At 39.2% G+C, this 21,249-nt stretch overlaps 5 annotated features.

The window, feature by feature from the left end:
- Positions 3,113–3,654: an enhancer, noted in NCBI's record as "OCT4-NANOG-H3K27ac hESC enhancer chr5:49423237-49423778 (GRCh37/hg19 assembly coordinates)". NCBI's record gives its function as "activates a minimal SCP1, AML or CMV promoter by ChIP-STARR-seq in primed H9 embryonic stem cells {active_cell/tissue: H9 hESC(primed)}" and the evidence as "EXISTENCE:reporter gene assay evidence [ECO:0000049][PMID:30033119]".
- Positions 3,655–4,198: an enhancer, noted in NCBI's record as "OCT4-NANOG-H3K27ac hESC enhancer chr5:49422693-49423236 (GRCh37/hg19 assembly coordinates)". NCBI's record gives its function as "activates a minimal SCP1, AML or CMV promoter by ChIP-STARR-seq in primed H9 embryonic stem cells {active_cell/tissue: H9 hESC(primed)}" and the evidence as "EXISTENCE:reporter gene assay evidence [ECO:0000049][PMID:30033119]".
- Positions 7,521–8,062: an enhancer, noted in NCBI's record as "OCT4-NANOG hESC enhancer chr5:49418829-49419370 (GRCh37/hg19 assembly coordinates)". NCBI's record gives its function as "activates a minimal SCP1, AML or CMV promoter by ChIP-STARR-seq in primed H9 embryonic stem cells {active_cell/tissue: H9 hESC(primed)}" and the evidence as "EXISTENCE:reporter gene assay evidence [ECO:0000049][PMID:30033119]".
- Positions 15,021–15,586: an enhancer, noted in NCBI's record as "OCT4-NANOG-H3K27ac hESC enhancer chr5:49411305-49411870 (GRCh37/hg19 assembly coordinates)". NCBI's record gives its function as "activates a minimal SCP1, AML or CMV promoter by ChIP-STARR-seq in naive H9 embryonic stem cells {active_cell/tissue: H9 hESC(naive)}" and the evidence as "EXISTENCE:reporter gene assay evidence [ECO:0000049][PMID:30033119]".
- Positions 15,587–16,152: an enhancer, noted in NCBI's record as "OCT4-NANOG-H3K27ac hESC enhancer chr5:49410739-49411304 (GRCh37/hg19 assembly coordinates)". NCBI's record gives its function as "activates a minimal SCP1, AML or CMV promoter by ChIP-STARR-seq in primed H9 embryonic stem cells {active_cell/tissue: H9 hESC(primed)}" and the evidence as "EXISTENCE:reporter gene assay evidence [ECO:0000049][PMID:30033119]".

Here is a 21,249-nt window from a genome sequence, read left to right as displayed (position 1 = left end):
CGCTTTGAAGCCTTTGTTGGAAATGGGAATATCTTCACACACAAACTAGCCAGAAGCATTCTCAGAAACTTCTTTGTGATGTGTGCGTTGAACCCAGAGAGATGAACCTTTCCTTTGATAGAGCAGTTTTGAAACGTGTTTTTGTAAGGTCTGCAAGCGGATAATGGGCTTCGCTTTGTGTCCTTTGGTGGAAACGGGAATATCTTCTAATAAAAACTAGACAGAAATATTCTCACAATCGTCTTTGTGATGTGGGCATTCAACTAACACAGTTGAACATTTCTTCTCACAGAGCAGTTTTGAAACACTCTTTTGCTAGAATCTGCCAGTGGATACTTGGAGCGCTTTGAGGGCTATTGTGCCAATGGAGATATCTTCCCCTAAAAACTAGACAGAAGCATTCTCAGAAACTACTTTGTGATGTTTGCATTCAACTCACAGAGTTGAACATACCTCTTCATAGAGCAGTTTTGAAAACCTCTTTTTGTAGAATCTGCAAGTGGATATTCGGACCACTTTGAGGCCTTCATAGGAAACAGTAATACCTTCACATAAAAACTAGATAGAAGCATTGTCAGAAAGTTCTTTGTGATGTGTGAATTCAACTCACAGAGTTGAACCTTCCTTTAATAGAGCAGTTTTGAAACACTCTTCTTCTAGAATCTGCAAGTAGATATTTGGAGCGCTTTGAGGCCTTCGTTGGAAACCGGAATATCTTCACAGAAAAAGTAGATAGAGGCATTCTCAGAAACTTTTTTGTGATATGTTGATTCATCTGACAGCGTTGAACCTTTCTTTTGATAGAGCAGTTTTGAAAAACTCTTTTGTTGAATCTGCAAGTAGACATTTGGAGTGCTTTGAGGGCTGTGGTGCCAAAGGAAATGTCTTCCCATGGAAACTAGACTGAAGCATTCTCAGCAACTTCTTTGTGACGTTTGCATTCATCTCACAGTGTTGAACATACCTTTCCATAGAGTAGTTTTCAGACACTATTTTTGTAGAATCTGCAAGCGGATATTTGGACTGCTTTGAGGCCTTCATCGGAGACGGGAATATCTTCACATAAACACTAGGCAGAAGCATTCTCAGAAACTACTTTGTGATCTGTCCATTCAACTCACAGAGTTGAACCTTCCTTTTTATGGAGCAGTTTTGAAACACTGTTTTTGGAGAATCTGCAAGTGGATATTTGGAGCGCTTTGAGGCCTATGGTAGAAAAAGAAATATCTGCCTCTAAAAACTAGACAGAAGCATTCTGAGAAACTTCTTTGTGATGTTTGCATTCAACTACCAGAGTTGAATCTTCCTTTTGATAGGGCAGTTTGGAAACACTCTTTTTGTAGAATCTGCATGTGGATATCTGGAGCGATTTGAGGCCTATGGTCAAAAAGGAAATATCTTCCTGGGAAAAATAGACGAAAGCATTCTCAGAAACTGCTTTGTGATATGTGCATTCGACTCACCGAGTTGAAACTTTTTTTTGATAGAGCAGTTTTGAAACACTCTGTAGAATCTGAAAGTGGATATTTGGAGCTCTTTGAGGGCTATGGCGGAAAAGAAAATATATTCACATTAAACTAGACAGCAGCATTCTCAGAAACTTCTTTAGGATGTCTGCAGTAAACTCACAGAGTTGAACATACCTTTCCGTAGAGCAGTTTTGAAACACTCTGTTTGTGGGATCCGCAAGTGGATATTTGGACAGCTTTGAGATCTTTGCTGGAAATGGGAATATCTTCACATATAAACTAGACAGAAGCATTCTCAGAAACTTCTTCGTGATGTGTGCATTCTACTCCCAAATTTGAATCTTCCTTCTCATGAAGCAGTTTTATAACTCTCTATTTGTGCAATCTACAATTGGATAATTGGAAACCTTTGATGCCCATGGTAGAAAAGGAAATATCCTCATATAAAAACTAGACAGAAGGATTCACAGAAAATGCTTTGTGATGTGTGCATTCAAATCACGGAGTTGAATCTTTCTTTTGTTAGAGCAGTTTTGAAACACTGTTTCTGTGGAATCTGCCAGCGGACACTTGGAGCGCTTTGAGGGCTATGGTGGAGAAGGAAACATCTTCCCATAAAAACTAGAAAGAAGCATTCTCGGAAACATTTATGTGAAGCGTGCCTTCAACTCACAGAGTTGAACCTTCCTTTTGATAGAACAGTTTTGAAACACTCTTTTGAACAATTGCAGGTGAATCTTTGGAGCGCTTTGAAGCCTTTGTTGGAAATGGGAATATCTTCACACACAAACTAGCCAGAAGCATTCTCAGAAACTTCTTTGTGATGTGTGCGTTGAACCCAGAGAGATGAACCTTTCCTTTGATAGAGCAGTTTTGAAACGTGTTTTTGTAAGGTCTGCAAGCGGATAATGGGCTTCGCTTTGTGTCCTTTGGTGGAAACGGGAATATCTTCTAATAAAAACTAGACAGAAATATTCTCACAATCGTCTTTGTGATGTGGGCATTCAACTAACACAGTTGAACATTTCTTCTCACAGAGCAGTTTTGAAACACTCTTTTGCTAGAATCTGCCAGTGGATACTTGGAGCGCTTTGAGGGCTATTGTGCCAATGGAGATATCTTCCCCTAAAAACTAGACAGAAGCATTCTCAGAAACTACTTTGTGATGTTTGCATTCAACTCACAGAGTTGAACATACCTCTTCATAGAGCAGTTTTGAAAACCTCTTTTTGTAGAATCTGCAAGTGGATATTCGGACCACTTTGAGGCCTTCATAGGAAACAGTAATACCTTCACATAAAAACTAGATAGAAGCATTGTCAGAAAGTTCTTTGTGATGTGTGAATTCAACTCACAGAGTTGAACCTTCCTTTAATAGAGCAGTTTTGAAACACTCTTCTTCTAGAATCTGCAAGTAGATATTTGGAGCGCTTTGAGGCCTTCGTTGGAAACCGGAATATCTTCACAGAAAAAGTAGATAGAGGCATTCTCAGAAACTTTTTTGTGATATGTTGATTCATCTGACAGCGTTGAACCTTTCTTTTGATAGAGCAGTTTTGAAAAACTCTTTTGTCGAATCTGCAAGTAGACATTTGGAGTGCTTTGAGGGCTGTGGTGCCAAAGGAAATGTCTTCCCATGGAAACTAGACTGAAGCATTCTCAGCAACTTCTTTGTGACGTTTGCATTCATCTCACAGTGTTGAACATACCTTTCCATAGAGTAGTTTTGAGACACTATTTTTGTAGAATCTGCAAGTGGATATTTGGACTGCTTTGAGGCCTTCATCGGAGACGGGAATATCTTCACATAAACACTAGGCAGAAGCATTCTCAGAAACTACTTTGTGATCTGTCCATTCAACTCACAGAGTTGAACCTTCCTTTTTATGGAGCAGTTTTGAAACACTGTTTTTGGAGAATCTGCAAGTGGATATTTGGAGCGCTTTGAGGCCTATGGTAGAAAAAGAAATATCTGCCTCTAAAAACTAGACAGAAGCATTCTGAGAAACTTCTTTGTGATGTTTGCATTCAACTACCAGAGTTGAATCTTCCTTTTGATAGGGCAGTTTGGAAACACTCTTTTTGTAGAATCTGCATGTGGATATCTGGAGCGATTTGAGGCCTATGGTCAAAAAGGAAATATCTTCCTGGGAAAAATAGACGAAAGCATTCTCAGAAACTGCTTTGTGATATGTGCATTCGACTCACCGAGTTGAAACTTTTTTTTGATAGAGCAGTTTTGAAACACTCTGTAGAATCTGAAAGTGGATATTTGGAGCTCTTTGAGGGCTATGGCGGAAAAGAAAATATATTCACATTAAACTAGACAGCAGCATTCTCAGAAACTTCTTTAGGATGTCTGCAGTAAACTCACAGAGTTGAACATACCTTTCCATAGAGCAGTTTTGAAACACTCTGTTTGTGGGATCCGCAAGTGGATATTTGGACAGCTTTGAGATCTTTGCTGGAAATGGGAATATCTTCACATATAAACTAGACAGAAGCATTCTCAGAAACTTCTTCGTGATGTGCGCATTCTACTCCCAAATTTGAATCTTCCTTCTCATGAAGCAGTTTTGAAACTCTCTATTTGTGCAATCTACAATTGGATAATTGGAACCCTTTGATGCCCATGGTAGAAAAGGAAATATCCTCATATAAAAACTAGACAGAAGGATTCACAGAAAATGCTTTGTGATGTGTGCATTCAAATCACGGAGTTGAATCTTTCTTTTGTTAGAGCAGTTTTGAAACACTGTTTCTGTGGAATCTGCCAGCGGACACTTGGAGCGCTTTGAGGGCTATGGTGGAGAAGGAAACATCTTCCCATAAAAACTAGAAAGAAGCATTCTCGGAAACATTTATGTGAAGCGTGCCTTCAACTCACAGAGTTGAACCTTCCTTTTGATAGAACAGTTTTGAAACACTCTTTTGAACAATTGCAGGTGAATCTTTGGAGCGCTTTGAAGCCTTTGTTGGAAATGGGAATATCTTCACACACAAACTAGCCAGAAGCATTCTCAGAAACTTCTTTGTGATGTGTGCGTTGAACCCAGAGAGATGAACCTTTCCTTTGATAGAGCAGTTTTGAAACGTGTTTTTGTAAGGTCTGCAAGCGGATAATGGGCTTCGCTTTGTGTCCTTTGGTGGAAACGGGAATATCTTCTAATAAAAACTAGACAGAAATATTCTCACAATCGTCTTTGTGATGTGGGCATTCAACTAACACAGTTGAACATTTCTTCTCACAGAGCAGTTTTGAAACACTCTTTTGCTAGAATCTGCCAGTGGATACTTGGAGCGCTTTGAGGGCTATTGTGCCAATGGAGATATCTTCCCCTAAAAACTAGACAGAAGCATTCTCAGAAACTACTTTGTGATGTTTGCATTCAACTCACAGAGTTGAACATACCTCTTCATAGAGCAGTTTTGAAAACCTCTTTTTGTAGAATCTGCAAGTGGATATTCGGACCACTTTGAGGCCTTCATAGGAAACAGTAATACCTTCACATAAAAACTAGATAGAAGCATTGTCAGAAAGTTCTTTGTGATGTGTGAATTCAACTCACAGAGTTGAACCTTCCTTTAATAGAGCAGTTTTGAAACACTCTTCTTCTAGAATCTGCAAGTAGATATTTGGAGCGCTTTGAGGCCTTCGTTGGAAACCGGAATATCTTCACAGAAAAAGTAGATAGAGGCATTCTCAGAAACTTTTTTGTGATATGTTGATTCATCTGACAGCGTTGAACCTTTCTTTTGATAGAGCAGTTTTGAAAAACTCTTTTGTCGAATCTGCAAGTAGACATTTGGAGTGCTTTGAGGTCTGTGGTGCCAAAGGAAATGTCTTCCCATGGAAACTAGACTGAAGCATTCTCAGCAACTTCTTTGTGACGTTTGCATTCATCTCACAGTGTTGAACATACCTTTCCATAGAGTAGTTTTGAGACACTATTTTTGTAGAATCTGCAAGCGGATATTTGGACTGCTTTGAGGCCTTCATCGGAGACGGGAATATCTTCACATAAACACTAGGCAGAAGCATTCTCAGAAACTACTTTGTGATCTGTCCATTCAATTCACAGAGTTGAACCTTCCTTTTTATGGAGCAGTTTTGAAACACTGTTTTTGGAGAATCTGCAAGTGGATATTTGGAGCGCTTTGAGGCCTATGGTAGAAAAAGAAATATCTGCCTCTAAAAACTAGACAGAAGCATTCTGAGAAACTTCTTTGTGATGTTTGCATTCAACTACCAGAGTTGAATCTTCCTTTTGATAGGGCAGTTTGGAAACACTCTTTTTGTAGAATCTGCATGTGGATATCTGGAGCGATTTGAGGCCTATGGTCAAAAAGGAAATATCTTCCTTGGAAAAATAGACGAAAGCATTCTCAGAAACTGCTTTGTGATATGTGCATTCGACTCACCGAGTTGAAACTTTTTTTTGATAGAGCAGTTTTGAAACACTCTGTAGAATCTGAAAGTGGATATTTGGAGCTCTTTGAGGGCTATGGCGGAAAAGAAAATATATTCACATTAAACTAGACAGCAGCATTCTCAGAAACTTCTTTAGGATGTCTGCAGTAAACTCACAGAGTTGAACATACCTTTCCGTAGAGCAGTTTTGAAACACTCTGTTTGTGGGATCCGCAAGTGGATATTTGGACAGCTTTGAGATCTTTGCTGGAAATGGGAATATCTTCACATATAAACTAGACAGAAGCATTCTCAGAAACTTCTTCGTGATGTGTGCATTCTACTCCCAAATTTGAATCTTCCTTCTCATGAAGCAGTTTTATAACTCTCTATTTGTGCAATTTACAATTGGATAATTGGAACCCTTTGATGCCCATGGTAGAAAAGGAAATATCCTCATATAAAAACTAGACAGAAGGATTCACAGAAAATGCTTTGTGATGTGTGCATTCAAATCACGGAGTTGAATCTTTCTTTTGTTAGAGCAGTTTTGAAACACTGTTTCTGTGGAATCTGCCAGCGGACACTTGGAGCGCTTTGAGGGCTATGGTGGAGAAGGAAACATCTTCCCATAAAAACTAGAAAGAAGCATTCTCGGAAACATTTATGTGAAGCGTGCCTTCAACTCACAGAGTTGAACCTTCCTTTTGATAGAACAGTTTTGAAACACTCTTTTGAACAATTGCAGGTGAATCTTTGGAGCGCTTTGAAGCCTTTGTTGGAAATGGGAATATCTTCACACACAAACTAGCCAGAAGCATTCTCAGAAACATCTTTGTGATGTGTGCGTTGAACCCAGAGAGATGAACCTTTCCTTTGATAGAGCAGTTTTGAAACGTGTTTTTGTAAGGTCTGCAAGCGGATAATGGGCTTCGCTTTGTGTCCTTTGGTGGAAACGGGAATATCTTCTAATAAAAACTAGACAGAAATATTCTCACAATCGTCTTTGTGATGTGGGCATTCAACTAACACAGTTGAACATTTCTTCTCACAGAGCAGTTTTGAAACACTCTTTTGCTAGAATCTGCCAGTGGATACTTGGAGCGCTTTGAGGGCTATTGTGCCAATGGAGATATCTTCCCCTAAAAACTAGACAGAAGCATTCTCAGAAACTACTTTGTGATGTTTGCATTCAACTCACAGAGTTGAACATACCTCTTCATAGAGCAGTTTTGAAAACCTCTTTTTGTAGAATCTGCAAGTGGATATTCGGACCACTTTGAGGCCTTCATAGGAAACAGTAATACCTTCACATAAAAACTAGATAGAAGCATTGTCAGAAAGTTCTTTGTGATGTGTGAATTCAACTCACAGAGTTGAACCTTCCTTTAATAGAGCAGTTTTGAAACACTCTTCTTCTAGAATCTGCAAGTAGATATTTGGAGCGTTTTGAGGCCTTCGTTGGAAACCGGAATATCTTCACAGAAAAAGTAGATAGAGGCATTCTCAGAAACTTTTTTGTGATATGTTGATTCATCTGACAGCGTTGAACCTTTCTTTTGATAGAGCAGTTTTGAAAAACTCTTTTGTCGAATCTGCAAGTAGACATTTGGAGTGCTTTGAGGGCTGTGGTGCCAAAGGAAATGTCTTCCCATGGAAACTAGACTGAAGCATTCTCAGCAACTTCTTTGTGACGTTTGCATTCATCTCACAGTGTTGAACATACCTTTCCATAGAGTAGTTTTGAGACACTATTTTTGTAGAATCTGCAAGTGGATATTTGGACTGCTTTGAGGCCTTCATCGGAGACGGGAATATCTTCACATAAACACTAGGCAGAAGCATTCTCAGAAACTACTTTGTGATCTGTCCATTCAACTCACAGAGTTGAATCTTCCTTTTTATGGAGCAGTTTTGAAACACTGTTTTTGGAGAATCTGCAAGTGGATATTTGGAGCGCTTTGAGGCCTATGGTAGAAAAAGAAATATCTGCCTCTAAAAACTAGACAGAAGCATTCTGAGAAACTTCTTTGTGATGTTTGCATTCAACTACCAGAGTTGAATCTTCCTTTTGATAGGGCAGTTTGGAAACACTCTTTTTGTAGAATCTGCATGTGGATATCTGGAGCGATTTGAGGCCTATGGTCAAAAAGGAAATATCTTCCTGGGAAAAATAGACGAAAGCATTCTCAGAAACTGCTTTGTGATATGTGCATTCGACTCACCGAGTTGAAACTTTTTTTTGATAGAGCAGTTTTGAAACACTCTGTAGAATCTGAAAGTGGATATTTGGAGCTCTTTGAGGGCTATGGCGGAAAAGAAAATATATTCACATTAAACTAGACAGCAGCATTCTCAGAAACTTCTTTAGGATGTCTGCAGTAAACTCACAGAGTTGAACATACCTTTCTGTAGAGCAGTTTTGAAACACTCTGTTTGTGGGATCCGCAAGTGGATATTTGGACAGCTTTGAGATCTTTGCTGGAAATGGGAATATCTTCACATATAAACTAGACAGAAGCATTCTCAGAAACTTCTTCGTGATGTGTGCATTCTACTCCCAAATTTGAATCTTCCTTCTCATGAAGCAGTTTTGAAACACTCTATTTGTGCAATCTACAATTGGATAATTGGAACCCTTTGATGCCCATGGTAGAAAAGGAAATATCCTCATATAAAAACTAGACAGAAGGATTCACAGAAAATGCTTTGTGATGTGTGCATTCAAATCACGGAGTTGAATCTTTCTTTTGTTAGAGCAGTTTTGAAACACTGTTTCTGTGGAATCTGCCAGCGGACACTTGGAGCGCTTTGAGGGCTATGGTGGAGAAGGAAACATCTTCCCATAAAAACTAGAAAGAAGCATTCTCGGAAACATTTATGTGAAGCGTGCCTTCAACTCACAGAGTTGAACCTTCCTTTTGATAGAACAGTTTTGAAACACTCTTTTGAACAATTGCAGGTGAATCTTTGGAGCGCTTTGAAGCCTTTGTTGGAAATGGGAATATCTTCACACACAAACTAGCCAGAAGCATTCTCAGAAACTTCTTTGTGATGTGTGCGTTGAACCCAGAGAGATGAACCTTTCCTTTGATAGAGCTGTTTTGAAACGTGTTTTTGTAAGGTCTGCAAGCGGATAATGGGCTTCGCTTTGTGTCCTTTGGTGGAAACGGGAATATCTTCTAATAAAAACTAGACAGAAATATTCTCACAATCGTCTTTGTGATGTGGGCATTCAACTAACACAGTTGAACATTTCTTCTCACAGAGCAGTTTTGAAACACTCTTTTGCTAGGATCTGCCAGTGGATACTTGGAGCGCTTTGAGGGCTATTGTGCCAATGGAGATATCTTCCCCTAAAAACTAGACAGAAGCATTCTCAGAAACTACTTTGTGATGTTTGCATTCAACTCACAGAGTTGAACATACCTCTTCATAGAGCAGTTTTGAAAACCTCTCTTTGTAGAATCTGCAAGTGGATATTCGGACCACTTTGAGGCCTTCATAGGAAACAGTAATACCTTCACATAAAAACTAGATAGAAGCATTGTCAGAAAGTTCTTTGTGATGTGTGAATTCAACTCACAGAGTTGAACCTTCCTTTAATAGAGCAGTTTTGAAACACTCTTCTTCTAGAATCTGCAAGTAGATATTTGGAGCGCTTTGAGGCCTTCGTTGGAAACCGGAATATCTTCACAGAAAAAGTAGATAGAGGCATTCTCAGAAACTTTTTTGTGATATGTTGATTCATCTGACAGCGTTGAACCTTTCTTTTGATAGAGCAGTTTTGAAAAACTCTTTTGTCGAATCTGCAAGTAGACATTTGGAGTGCTTTGAGGGCTGTGGTGCCAAAGGAAATGTCTTCCCATGGAAACTAGACTGAAGCATTCTCAGCAACTTCTTTGTGACGTTTGCATTCATCTCACAGTGTTGAACATACCTTTCCATAGAGTAGTTTTGAGACACTATTTTTGTAGAATCTGCAAGCGGATATTTGGACTGCTTTGAGGCCTTCATCGGAGACGGGAATATCTTCACATAAACACTAGGCAGAAGCATTCTCAGAAACTACTTTGTGATCTGTCCATTCAACTCACAGAGTTGAACCTTCCTTTTTATGGAGCAGTTTTGAAACACTGTTTTTGGAGAATCTGCAAGTGGATATTTGGAGCGCTTTGAGGCCTATGGTAGAAAAAGAAATATCTGCCTCTAAAAACTAGACAGAAGCATTCTGAGAAACTTCTTTGTGATGTTTGCATTCAACTACCAGAGTTGAATCTTCCTTTTGATAGGGCAGTTTGGAAACACTCTTTTTGTAGAATCTGCATGTGGATATCTGGAGCGATTTGAGGCCTATGGTCAAAAAGGAAATATCTTCCTGGGAAAAATAGACGAAAGCATTCTCAGAAACTGCTTTGTGATATGTGCATTCGACTCACCGAGTTGAAACTTTTTTTTGATAGAGCAGTTTTGAAACACTCTGTAGAATCTGAAAGTGGATATTTGGAGCTCTTTGAGGGCTATGGCGGAAAAGAAAATATATTCACATTAAACTAGACAGCAGCATTCTCAGAAACTTCTTTAGGATGTCTGCAGTAAACTCACAGAGTTGAACATACCTTTCCGTAGAGCAGTTTTGAAACACTCTGTTTGTGGGATCCGCAAGTGGATATTTGGACAGCTTTGAGATCTTTGCTGGAAATGGGAATATCTTCACATATAAACTAGACAGAAGCATTCTCAGAAACTTCTTCGTGATGTGTGCATTCTACTCCCAAATTTGAATCTTCCTTCTCATGAAGCAGTTTTGAAACACTCTATTTGTGCAATCTACAATTGGATAATTGGAACCCTTTGATGCCCATGGTAGAAAAGGAAATATCCTCATATAAAAACTAGACAGAAGGATTCACAGAAAATGCTTTGTGATGTGTGCATTCAAATCACGGAGTTGAATCTTTCTTTTGTTAGAGCAGTTTTGAAACACTGTTTCTGTGGAATCTGCCAGCGGACACTTGGAGCGCTTTGAGGGCTATGGTGGAGAAGGAAACATCTTCCCATAAAAACTAGAAAGAAGCATTCTCGGAAACATTTATGTGAAGCGTGCCTTCAACTCACAGAGTTGAACCTTCCTTTTGATAGAACAGTTTTGAAACACTCTTTTGAACAATTGCAGGTGAATCTTTGGAGCGCTTTGAAGCCTTTGTTGGAAATGGGAATATCTTCACACACAAACTAGCCAGAAGCATTCTCAGAAACTTCTTTGTGATGTGTGCGTTGAACCCAGAGAGATGAACCTTTCCTTTGATAGAGCAGTTTTGAAACGTGTTTTTGTAAGGTCTGCAAGCGGATAATGGGCTTCGCTTTGTGTCCTTTGGTGGAAACGGGAATATCTTCTAATAAAAACTAGACAGAAATATTCTCACAATCGTCTTTGTGATGTGGGCATTCAACTAACACAGTTGAACATTTCTTCTCACAGAGCAGTTTTGAAACACTCTTTTGCTAGAATCTGCCAGTGGATACTTGGAGCGCTTTGAGGGCTATTGTGCCAATGGAGATATCTTCCCCTAAAAACTAGACAGAAGCATTCTCAGAAACTACTTTGTGATGTTTGCATTCAACTCACAGAGTTGAACATACCTCTTCATAGAGCAGTTTTGAAAACCTCTTTTTGTAGAATCTGCAAGTGGATATTCGGACCACTTTGAGGCCTTCATAGGAAACAGTAATACCTTCACATAAAAACTAGATAGAAGCATTGTCAGAAAGTTCTTTGTGATGTGTGAATTCAACTCACAGAGTTGAACCTTCCTTTAATAGAGCAGTTTTGAAACACTCTTCTTCTAGAATCTGCAAGTAGATATTTGGAGCGCTTTGAGGCCTTCGTTGGAAACTGGAATATCTTCACAGAAAAAGTAGATAGAGGCATTCTCAGAAACTTTTTTGTGATATGTTGATTCATCTGACAGCGTTGAACCCTTCTTTTGATAGAGCAGTTTTGAAAAACTCTTTTGTCGAATCTGCAAGTAGACATTTGGAGTGCTTTGAGGGCTGTGGTGCCAAAGGAAATGTCTTCCCATGGAAACTAGACTGAAGCATTCTCAGCAACTTCTTTGTGACGTTTGCATTCATCTCACAGTGTTGAACATACCTTTCCATAGAGTAGTTTTGAGACACTATTTTTGTAGAATCTGCAAGTGGATATTTGGACTGCTTTGAGGCCTTCATCGGAGACGGGAATATCTTCACATAAACACTAGGCAGAAGCATTCTCAGAAACTACTTTGTGATCTGTCCATTCAACTCACAGAGTTGAACCTTCCTTTTTATGGAGCAGTTTTGAAACACTGTTTTTGGAGAATCTGCAAGTGGATATTTGGAGCGCTTTGAGGCCTATGGTAGAAAAAGAAATATCTGCCTCTAAAAACTAGACAGAAGCATTCTGAGAAACTTCTTTGTGATGTTTGCATTCAACTACCAGAGTTGAATCTTCCTTTTGATAGGGCAGTTTGGAAACACTCTTTTTGTAGAATCTGCATGTGGATATCTGGAGCGATTTGAGGCCTACGGTCCAAAAGGAAATATCTTCCTGGGAAAAATAGAGGAAAGCATTCTCAGAAACTGCTTTGTGATATGTGCATTCGACTCACCGAGTTGAAACTTTTTTTTGATAGAGCAGTTTTGAAACACTCTGTAGAATCTGAAAGTGGATATTTGGAGCTCTTTGAGGGCTATGGCGGAAAAGAAAATATATTCACATTAAACTAGACAGCAGCATTCTCAGAAACTTCTTTAGGATGTCTGCAGTAAACTCACAGAGTTGAACATACCTTTCCGTAGAGCAGTTTTGAAACACTCTGTTTGTGGGATCCGCAAGTGGATATTTGGACAGCTTTGAGATCTTTGCTGGAAATGGGAATATCTTCACATATAAACTAGACAGAAGCATTCTCAGAAACTTCTTCGTGATGTGTGCATTCTACTCCCAAATTTGAATCTTCCTTCTCATGAAGCAGTTTTGAAACACTCTATTTGTGCAATCTACAATTGGATAATTGGAACCCTTTGATGCCCATGGTAGAAAAGGAAATATCCTCATATGAAAACTAGACAGAAGGATTCACAGAAAATGCTTTGTGATGTGTGCATTCAAATCACGGAGTTGAATCTTTCTTTTGTTAGAGCAGTTTTGAAACACTGTTTCTGTGGAATCTGCCAGCGGACACTTGGAGCGCTTTGAGGGCTATGGTGGAGAAGGAAACATCTTCCCATAAAAACTAGAAAGAAGCATTCTCGGAAACATTTATGTGAAGCGTGCCTTCAACTCACAGAGTTGAACCTTCCTTTTGATAGAACAGTTTTGAAACACTCTTTTGAACAATTGCAGGTGAATCTTTGGAGCGCTTTGAAGCCTTTGTTGGAAATGGGAATATCTTCACACACAAACTAGCCAGAAGCATTCTCAGAAACTTCTTTGTGATGTGTGCGTTGAACCCAGAGAGATGAACCTTTCCTTTGATAGAGCAGTTTTGAAACGTGTTTTTGTAAGGTCTGCAAGCGGATAATGGGCTTCGCTTTGTGTCCTTTGGTGGAAACGGGAATATCTTCTAATAAAAACTAGACAGAAATATTCTCACAATCGTCTTTGTGATGTGGGCATTCAACTAACACAGTTGAACATTTCTTCTCACAGAGCAGTTTTGAAACACTCTTTTGCTAGAATCTGCCAGTGGATACTTGGAGGGCTTTGAGGGCTATTGTGCCAATGGAGATATCTTCCCCTAAAAACTAGACAGAGGAATTCTCAGAAACTACTTTGTGATGTTTGCATTCAACTCACAGAGTTGAACATACCTCTTCATAGAGCAGTTTTGAAAACCTCTTTTTGTAGAATCTGCAAGTGGATATTCGGACCACTTTGAGGCCTTCATAGGAAACAGTAATACCTTCACATAAAAATTAGATAGAAGCATTGTCAGAAAGTTCTTTGTGATGTGTGAATTCAACTCACAGAGTTGAACCTTCCTTTAATAGAGCAGTTTTGAAACACTCTTCTTCTAGAATCTGCAAGTAGATATTTGGAGCGCTTTGAGGCCTTCGTTGGAAACCGGAATATCTTCACAGAAAAAGTAGATAGAGGCATTCTCAGAAACTCTTTTGTGATATGTTGATTCATCTGACAGCGTTGAACCTTTCTTTTGATAGAGCAGTTTTGAAAAACTCTTTTGTCGAATCTGCAAGTAGACATTTGGAGTGCTTTGAGGGCTGTGGTGCCAAAGGAAATGTCTTCCCATGGAAACTAGACTGAAGCATTCTCAGCAACTTCTTTGTGACGTTTGCATTCATCTCACAGTGTTGAACATACCTTTCCATAGAGTAGTTTTGAGACACTATTTTTGTAGAATCTGCAAGCGGATATTTGGACTGCTTTGAGGCCTTCATCGGAGACGGGAATATCTTCACATAAACACTAGACAGAAGCATTCTCAGAAACTACTTTGTGATCTGTCCATTCAACTCACAGAGTTGAACCTTCCTTTTTATGGAGCAGTTTTGAAACACTGTTTTTGGAGAATCTGCAAGTGGATATTTGGAGCGCTTTGAGGCCTATGGTAGAAAAAGAAATATCTGCCTCTAAAAACTAGACAGAAGCATTCTGAGAAACTTCTTTGTGATGTTTGCATTCAACTACCAGAGTTGAATCTTCCTTTTGATAGGGCAGTTTGGAAACACTCTTTTTGTAGAATCTGCATGTGGATATCTGGAGCGATTTGAGGCCTATGGTCAAAATGGAAATATCTTCCTGGGAAAAATAGACGAAAGCATTCTCAGAAACTGCTTTGTGATATGTGCATTCGACTCACCGAGTTGAAACTTTTTTTTGATAGAGCAGTTTTGAAACACTCTGTAGAATCTGAAAGTGGATATTTGGAGCTCTTTGAGGGCTATGGCGGAAAAGAAAATATATTCACATTAAACTAGACAGCAGCATTCTCAGAAACTTCTTTAGGATGTCTGCAGTAAACTCACAGAGTTGAACATACCTTTCCGTAGAGCAGTTTTGAAACACTCTGTGGGATCCACAAGTGGATATTTGGACAGCTTTGAGATCTTTGCTGGAAATGGGAATATCTTCACATATAAACTAGACAGAAGCATTCTCAGAAACTTCTTCGTGATGTGTGCATTCTACTCCCAAATTTGAATCTTCCTTCTCATTAAGCAGTTTTGAAACACTCTATTTGTGCAATCTACAATTGGAGAATTGGAACACTTGGATGCCCGTGGTTGAAAAGGAAATATCCTCATATAAAAACTAGACAGAAGGATTCACAGAAAATGCTTTGTGATGTGTGCATTCAAACCACGGAGTTGAATCTTTCTTTTGTTAGAGCAGTTTTGAAACACTGTTTCTGTGGAATCTGCCAGCGGACACTTGGAGCGCTTTGAGGGCTATGGTGGAGAAGGAAACATCTTCCCATAAAAACTAGAAAGAAGCATTCTCGGAATCATTTATGTGAAGCGTGCCTTCAACTCACAGAGTTGAACCTTCCTTTTGATAGAACAGTTTTGAAACACTCTTTTGAACAATTGCAGGTGAATCTTTGGAGCGCTTTGAAGCCTTTGTTGGAAATGGGAATATCTTCACACACAAACTAGCCAGAAGCATTCTCAGAAACTTCTTTGTGATGTGTGCGTTGAACCCAGAGAGATGAACCTTTCCTTTGATAGAGCAGTTTTGAAACGTGTTTTTGTAAGGTCTGCAAGCGGATAATGGGCTTCGCTTTGTGTCCTTTGGTGGAAACGGGAATATCTTCTAATAAAAACTAGACAGAAATATTCTCACAATCATCTTTGTAATGTGGGCATTCAACTAACACAGTTGAACATTTCTTTTCACAGAGCAGTTTTGAAACACTCTTTTGCTAGAATCTGCCAGTGGATACTTGGAGCGCTTTGAGGGCTATTGTGCCAATGGAGATATCTTCCCCTAAAAACTAGACAGAAGCATTCTCAGAAACTACTTTGTGATGTTTGCATTCAACTCACAGAGTTGAACATACCTCTTCATAGAGCAGTTTTGAAAACCTCTTTTTGTAGAATCTGCAAGTGGATATTCGGACCACTTTGAGGCCTTCATAGGAAACAGTAATACCTTCACATAAAAACTAGATAGAAGCATTGTCAGAAAGTTCTTTGTGATGTGTGAATTCAACTCACAGAGTTGAACCTTCCTTTAATAGAGCAGTTTTGAAACACTCTTCTTCTAGAATCTGCAAGTAGATATTTGGAGCGCTTTGAGGCCTTCGTTGGAAACCGGAATATCTTCACAGAAAAAGTAGATAGAGGCATTCTCAGAAACTTTTTTGTGATATGTTGATTCATCTGACAGCGTTGTACCTTTCTTTTGATAGAGCAGTTTTGAAAAACTCTTTTGTCGAATCTGCAAGTAGACATTTGGAGTGCTTTGAGGGCTGTGGTGCAAAAGGAAATGTCTTCCCATGGAAACTAGACTGAAGCATTCTCAGCAACTTCTTTGTGACGTTTGCATTCATCTCACAGTGTTGAACATACCTTTCCATAGAGTAGTTTTGAGACACTATTTTTGTAGAATCTGCAAGTGGATATTTGGACTGCTTTGAGGCCTTCATCGGAGACGGGAATATCTTCACATAAACACTAGACAGAAGCATTCTCAGAAACTTCTTTGTGATCTGTCCATTCAACTCACAGAGTTGAACCTTCCTTTTTATGGAGCAGTTTTGAAACACTGTTTTTGGAGAATCTGCAAGTGGATATTTGGAGCGCTTTGAGGCCTATGGTAGAAAAAGAAATATCTGCCTCTAAAAACTAGACAGAAGCATTCTGAGAAACTTCTTTGTGATGTTTGCATTCAACTACCAGAGTTGAATCTTCCTTTTGATAGGGCAGTTTGGAAACACTCTTTTTGTAGAATCTGCATGTGGATATCTGGAGCGATTTGAGTCCTACGGTCCAAAAGGAAATATCTTCCTGGGAAAAATAGAGGAAAGCATTCTCAGAAACTGCTTTGTGATATGTGCATTCGACTCACCGAGTTGAAACTTTTTTTTGATAGAGCAGTTTTGAAACACTCTGTAGAATCTGAAAGTGGATATTTGGAGCTCGTTGAGGGCTATGGCGGAAAAGAAAAGATATTCACATTAAACTAGACAGCAGCATTCTCAGAAACTTCTTTAGGATGTCTGCAGTAAACTCACAGAGTTGAACATACCTTTCCGTAGAGCAGTTTTGAAACACTCTGTTTGTGGGATCCGCAAGTGGATATTTGGACAGCTTTGAGATCTTTGCTGGAAATGGGAATATCTTCACATATAAACTAGACAGAAGCATTCTCAGAAACTTCTTCGTGATGTGTGCATTCTACTCCCAAATTTGAATCTTCCTTCTCATGAAGCAGTTTTGAAACACTCTATTTGTGCAATCTACAATTGGATAATTGGAACCCTTTGATGCCCATGGTAGAAAAGGAAATATCCTCATATGAAAAGTAGACAGAAGGATTCACAGAAAATGCTTTGTGATGTGTGCATTCAAATCACGGAGTTGAATCTTTCTTTTGTTAGAGCAGTTTTGAAACACTGTTTCTGTGGAATCTGCCAGCGGACACTTGGAGCGCTTTGAGGGCTATGGTGGAGAAGGAAACATCTTCCCATAAAAACTAGAAAGAAGCATTCTCGGAAACATTTATGTGAAGCGTGCCTTCAACTCACAGAGTTGAACCTTCCTTTTGATAGAACAGTTTTGAAACACTCTTTTGAACAATTGCAGGTGAATCTTTGGAGCGCTTTGAAGCCTTTGTTGGAAATGGGAATATCTTCACACACAAACTAGCCAGAAGCATTCTCAGAAACTTCTTTGTGATGTGTGCGTTGAACCCAGAGAGATGAACCTTTCCTTTGATAGAGCAGTTTTGAAACGTGTTTTTGTAAGGTCTGCAAGCGGATAATGGGCTTCGCTTTGTGTCCTTTGGTGGAAACGGGAATATCTTCTAATAAAAACTAGACAGAAATATTCTCACAATCGTCTTTGTGATGTGGGCATTCAACTAACACAGTTGAACATTTCTTCTCACAGAGCAGTTTTGAAACACTCTTTTGCTAGAATCTGCCAGTGGATACTTGGAGCGCTTTGAGGGCTATTGTGCCAATGGAGATATCTTCCCCTAAAAACTAGACAGAAGCATTCTCAGAAACTACTTTGTGATGTTTGCATTCAACTCACAGAGTTGAACATACCTCTTCATAGAGCAGTTTTGAAAACCTCTTTTTGTAGAATCTGCAAGTGGATATTCGGACCACTTTGAGGCCTTCATAGGAAACAGTAATACCTTCACATAAAAATTAGATAGAAGCATTGTCAGAAAGTTCTTTGTGATGTGTGAATTCAACTCACAGAGTTGAACCTTCCTTTAATAGAGCAGTTTTGAAACACTCTTCTTCTAGAATCTGCAAGTAGATATTTGGAGCGCTTTGAGGCCTTCGTTGGAAACCGGAATATCTTCACAGAAAAAGTAGATAGAGGCATTCTCAGAAACTCTTTTGTGATATGTTGATTCATCTGACAGCGTTGAACCTTTCTTTTGATAGAGCAGTTTTGAAAAACTCTTTTGTCGAATCTGCAAGTAGACATTTGGAGTGCTTTGAGGGCTGTGGTGCCAAAGGAAATGTCTTCCCATGGAAACTAGACTGAAGCATTCTCAGCAACTTCTTTGTGACGTTTGCATTCATCTCACAGTGTTGAACATACCTTTCCATAGAGTAGTTTTGAGACACTATTTTTGTAGAATCTGCAAGCGGATATTTGGACTGCTTTGAGGCCTTCATCGGAGACGGGAATATCTTCACATAAACACTAGACAGAAGCATTCTCAGAAACTACTTTGTGATCTGTCCATTCAACTCACAGAGTTGAACCTTCCTTTTTATGGAGCAGTTTTGAAACACTGTTTTTGGAGAATCTGCAAGTGGATATTTGGAGCGCTTTGAGGCCTATGGTAGAAAAAGAAATATCTGCCTCTAAAAACTAGACAGAAGCATTCTGAGAAACTTCTTTGTGATGTTTGCATTCAACTACCAGAGTTGAATCTTCCTTTTGATAGGGCAGTTTGGAAACACTCTTTTTGTAGAATCTGCATGTGGATATCTGGAGCGATTTGAGGCCTATGGTCAAAAAGGAAATATCTTCCTGGGAAAAATAGACGAAAGCATTCTCAGAAACTGCTTTGTGATATGTGCATTCGACTCACCGAGTTGAAACTTTTTTTTGATAGAGCAGTTTTCAAACACTCTGTAGAATCTGAAAGTGGATATTTGGAGCTCTTTGAGGGCTACGGCGGAAAAGAAAATATATTCACATTAAACTAGACAGCAGCATTCTCAGAAACTTCTTTAGGATGTCTGCAGTAAACTCACAGAGTTGAACATACCTTTCCGTAGAGCAGTTTTGAAACACTCTGTTTGTGGGATCCACAAGTGGATATTTGGACAGCTTTGAGATCTTTGCTGGAAATGGGAATATCTTCACATATAAACTAGACAGAAGCATTCTCAGAAACTTCTTCGTGATGTGTGCATTCTACTCCCAAATTTGAATCTTCCTTCTCATTAAGCAGTTTTGAAACACTCTATTTGTGCAATCTACAATTGGAGAATTGGAACACTTGGATGCCCGTGGTTGAAAAGGAAATATCCTCATATAAAAACTAGACAGAAGGATTCACAGAAAATGCTTTGTGATGTGTGCATTCAAACCACGGAGTTGAATCTTTCTTTTGTTAGAGCAGTTTTGAAACACTGTTTCTGTGGAATCTGCCAGCGGACACTTGGAGCGCTTTGAGGGCTATGGTGGAGAAGGAAACATCTTCCCATAAAAACTAGAAAGAAGCATTCTCGGAATCATTTATGTGAAGCGTGCCTTCAACTCACAGAGTTGAACCTTCCTTTTGATAGAACAGTTTTGAAACACTCTTTTGAACAATTGCAGGTGAATCTTTGGAGCGCTTTGAAGCCTTTGTTGGAAATGGGAATATCTTCACACACAAACTAGCCAGAAGCATTCTCAGAAACTTCTTTGTGATGTGTGCGTTGAACCCAGAGAGATGAACCTTTCCTTTGATAGAGCAGTTTTGAAACGTGTTTTTGTAAGGTCTGCAAGCGGATAATGGGCTTCGCTTTGTGTCCTTTGGTGGAAACGGGAATATCTTCTAATAAAAACTAGACAGAAATATTCTCACAATCATCTTTGTAATGTGGGCATTCAACTAACACAGTTGAACATTTCTTTTCACAGAGCAGTTTTGAAACACTCTTTTCCTAGAATCTGCCAGTGGATACTTGGAGCGCTTTGAGGGCTATTGTGCCAATGGAGATATCTTCCCCTAAAAACTAGACAGAAGCATTCTCTGAAACTACTTTGTGATGTTTGCATTCAACTCACAGAGTTGAACATACCTCTTCATAGAGCAGTTTTGAAAACCTCTTTTTGTAGAATCTGCAAGTGGATATTCGGACCACTTTGAGGCCTTCATAGGAAACAGTAATACCTTCACATAAAAACTAGATAGAAGCATTGTCAGAAAGTTCTTTGTGATGTGTGAATTCAACTCACAGAGTTGAACCTTCCTTTAATAGAGCAGTTTTGAAACACTCTTCTTCTAGAATCTGCAAGTAGATATTTGGAGCGCTTTGAGGCCTTCGTTGGAAACCGGAATATCTTCACAGAAAAAGTAGATAGAGGCATTCTCAGAAACTTTTTTGTGATATGTTGATTCATCTGACAGCGTTGAACCTTTCTTTTGATAGAGCAGTTTTGAAAAACTCTTTTGTCGAATCTGCAAGTAGACATTTGGAGTGCTTTGAGGGCTGTGGTGCCAAAGGAAATGTCTTCCCATGGAAACTAGACTGAAGCATTCTCAGCAACTTCTTTGTGACGTTTGCATTCATCTCACAGTGTTGAACATACCTTTCCATAGAGTAGTTTTGAGACACTATTTTTGTAGAATCTGCAAGTGGATATTTGGAGCGCTTTGAGGGCTATTGTGCCAATGGAAATATCTGCCCCTAAAAACTAGACAGAAGCATTCTCAGAAACTGCTTCGGGATGTTTGCATTCAACTCACAGAGTTGAACATACCTCTGCATAGAGCAGTTTTGAAAACCTCTTTTTGTAGAATCTGCAAGTGGATATTCGGACCACTTTGAGGCCTTCATGGGAAACAGTAATATCTTCACATAAAAACTAGATAGAAGCATTGTCAGAAAGTTCTTTGTGATGTGTGAATTCAACTCACAGAGTTGAACCTTCCTTTAATAGAGCAGTTTTGAA

The sequence above is a fragment of the Homo sapiens genome, chromosome 5 (assembly GCF_000001405.40).
Source record: "Homo sapiens chromosome 5, GRCh38.p14 Primary Assembly".
NCBI lineage: Eukaryota > Metazoa > Chordata > Mammalia > Primates > Hominidae > Homo > Homo sapiens.
Note: the sequence above shows the minus strand (reverse complement) of the source record. Positions and strands in the feature narration are given on the sequence as shown.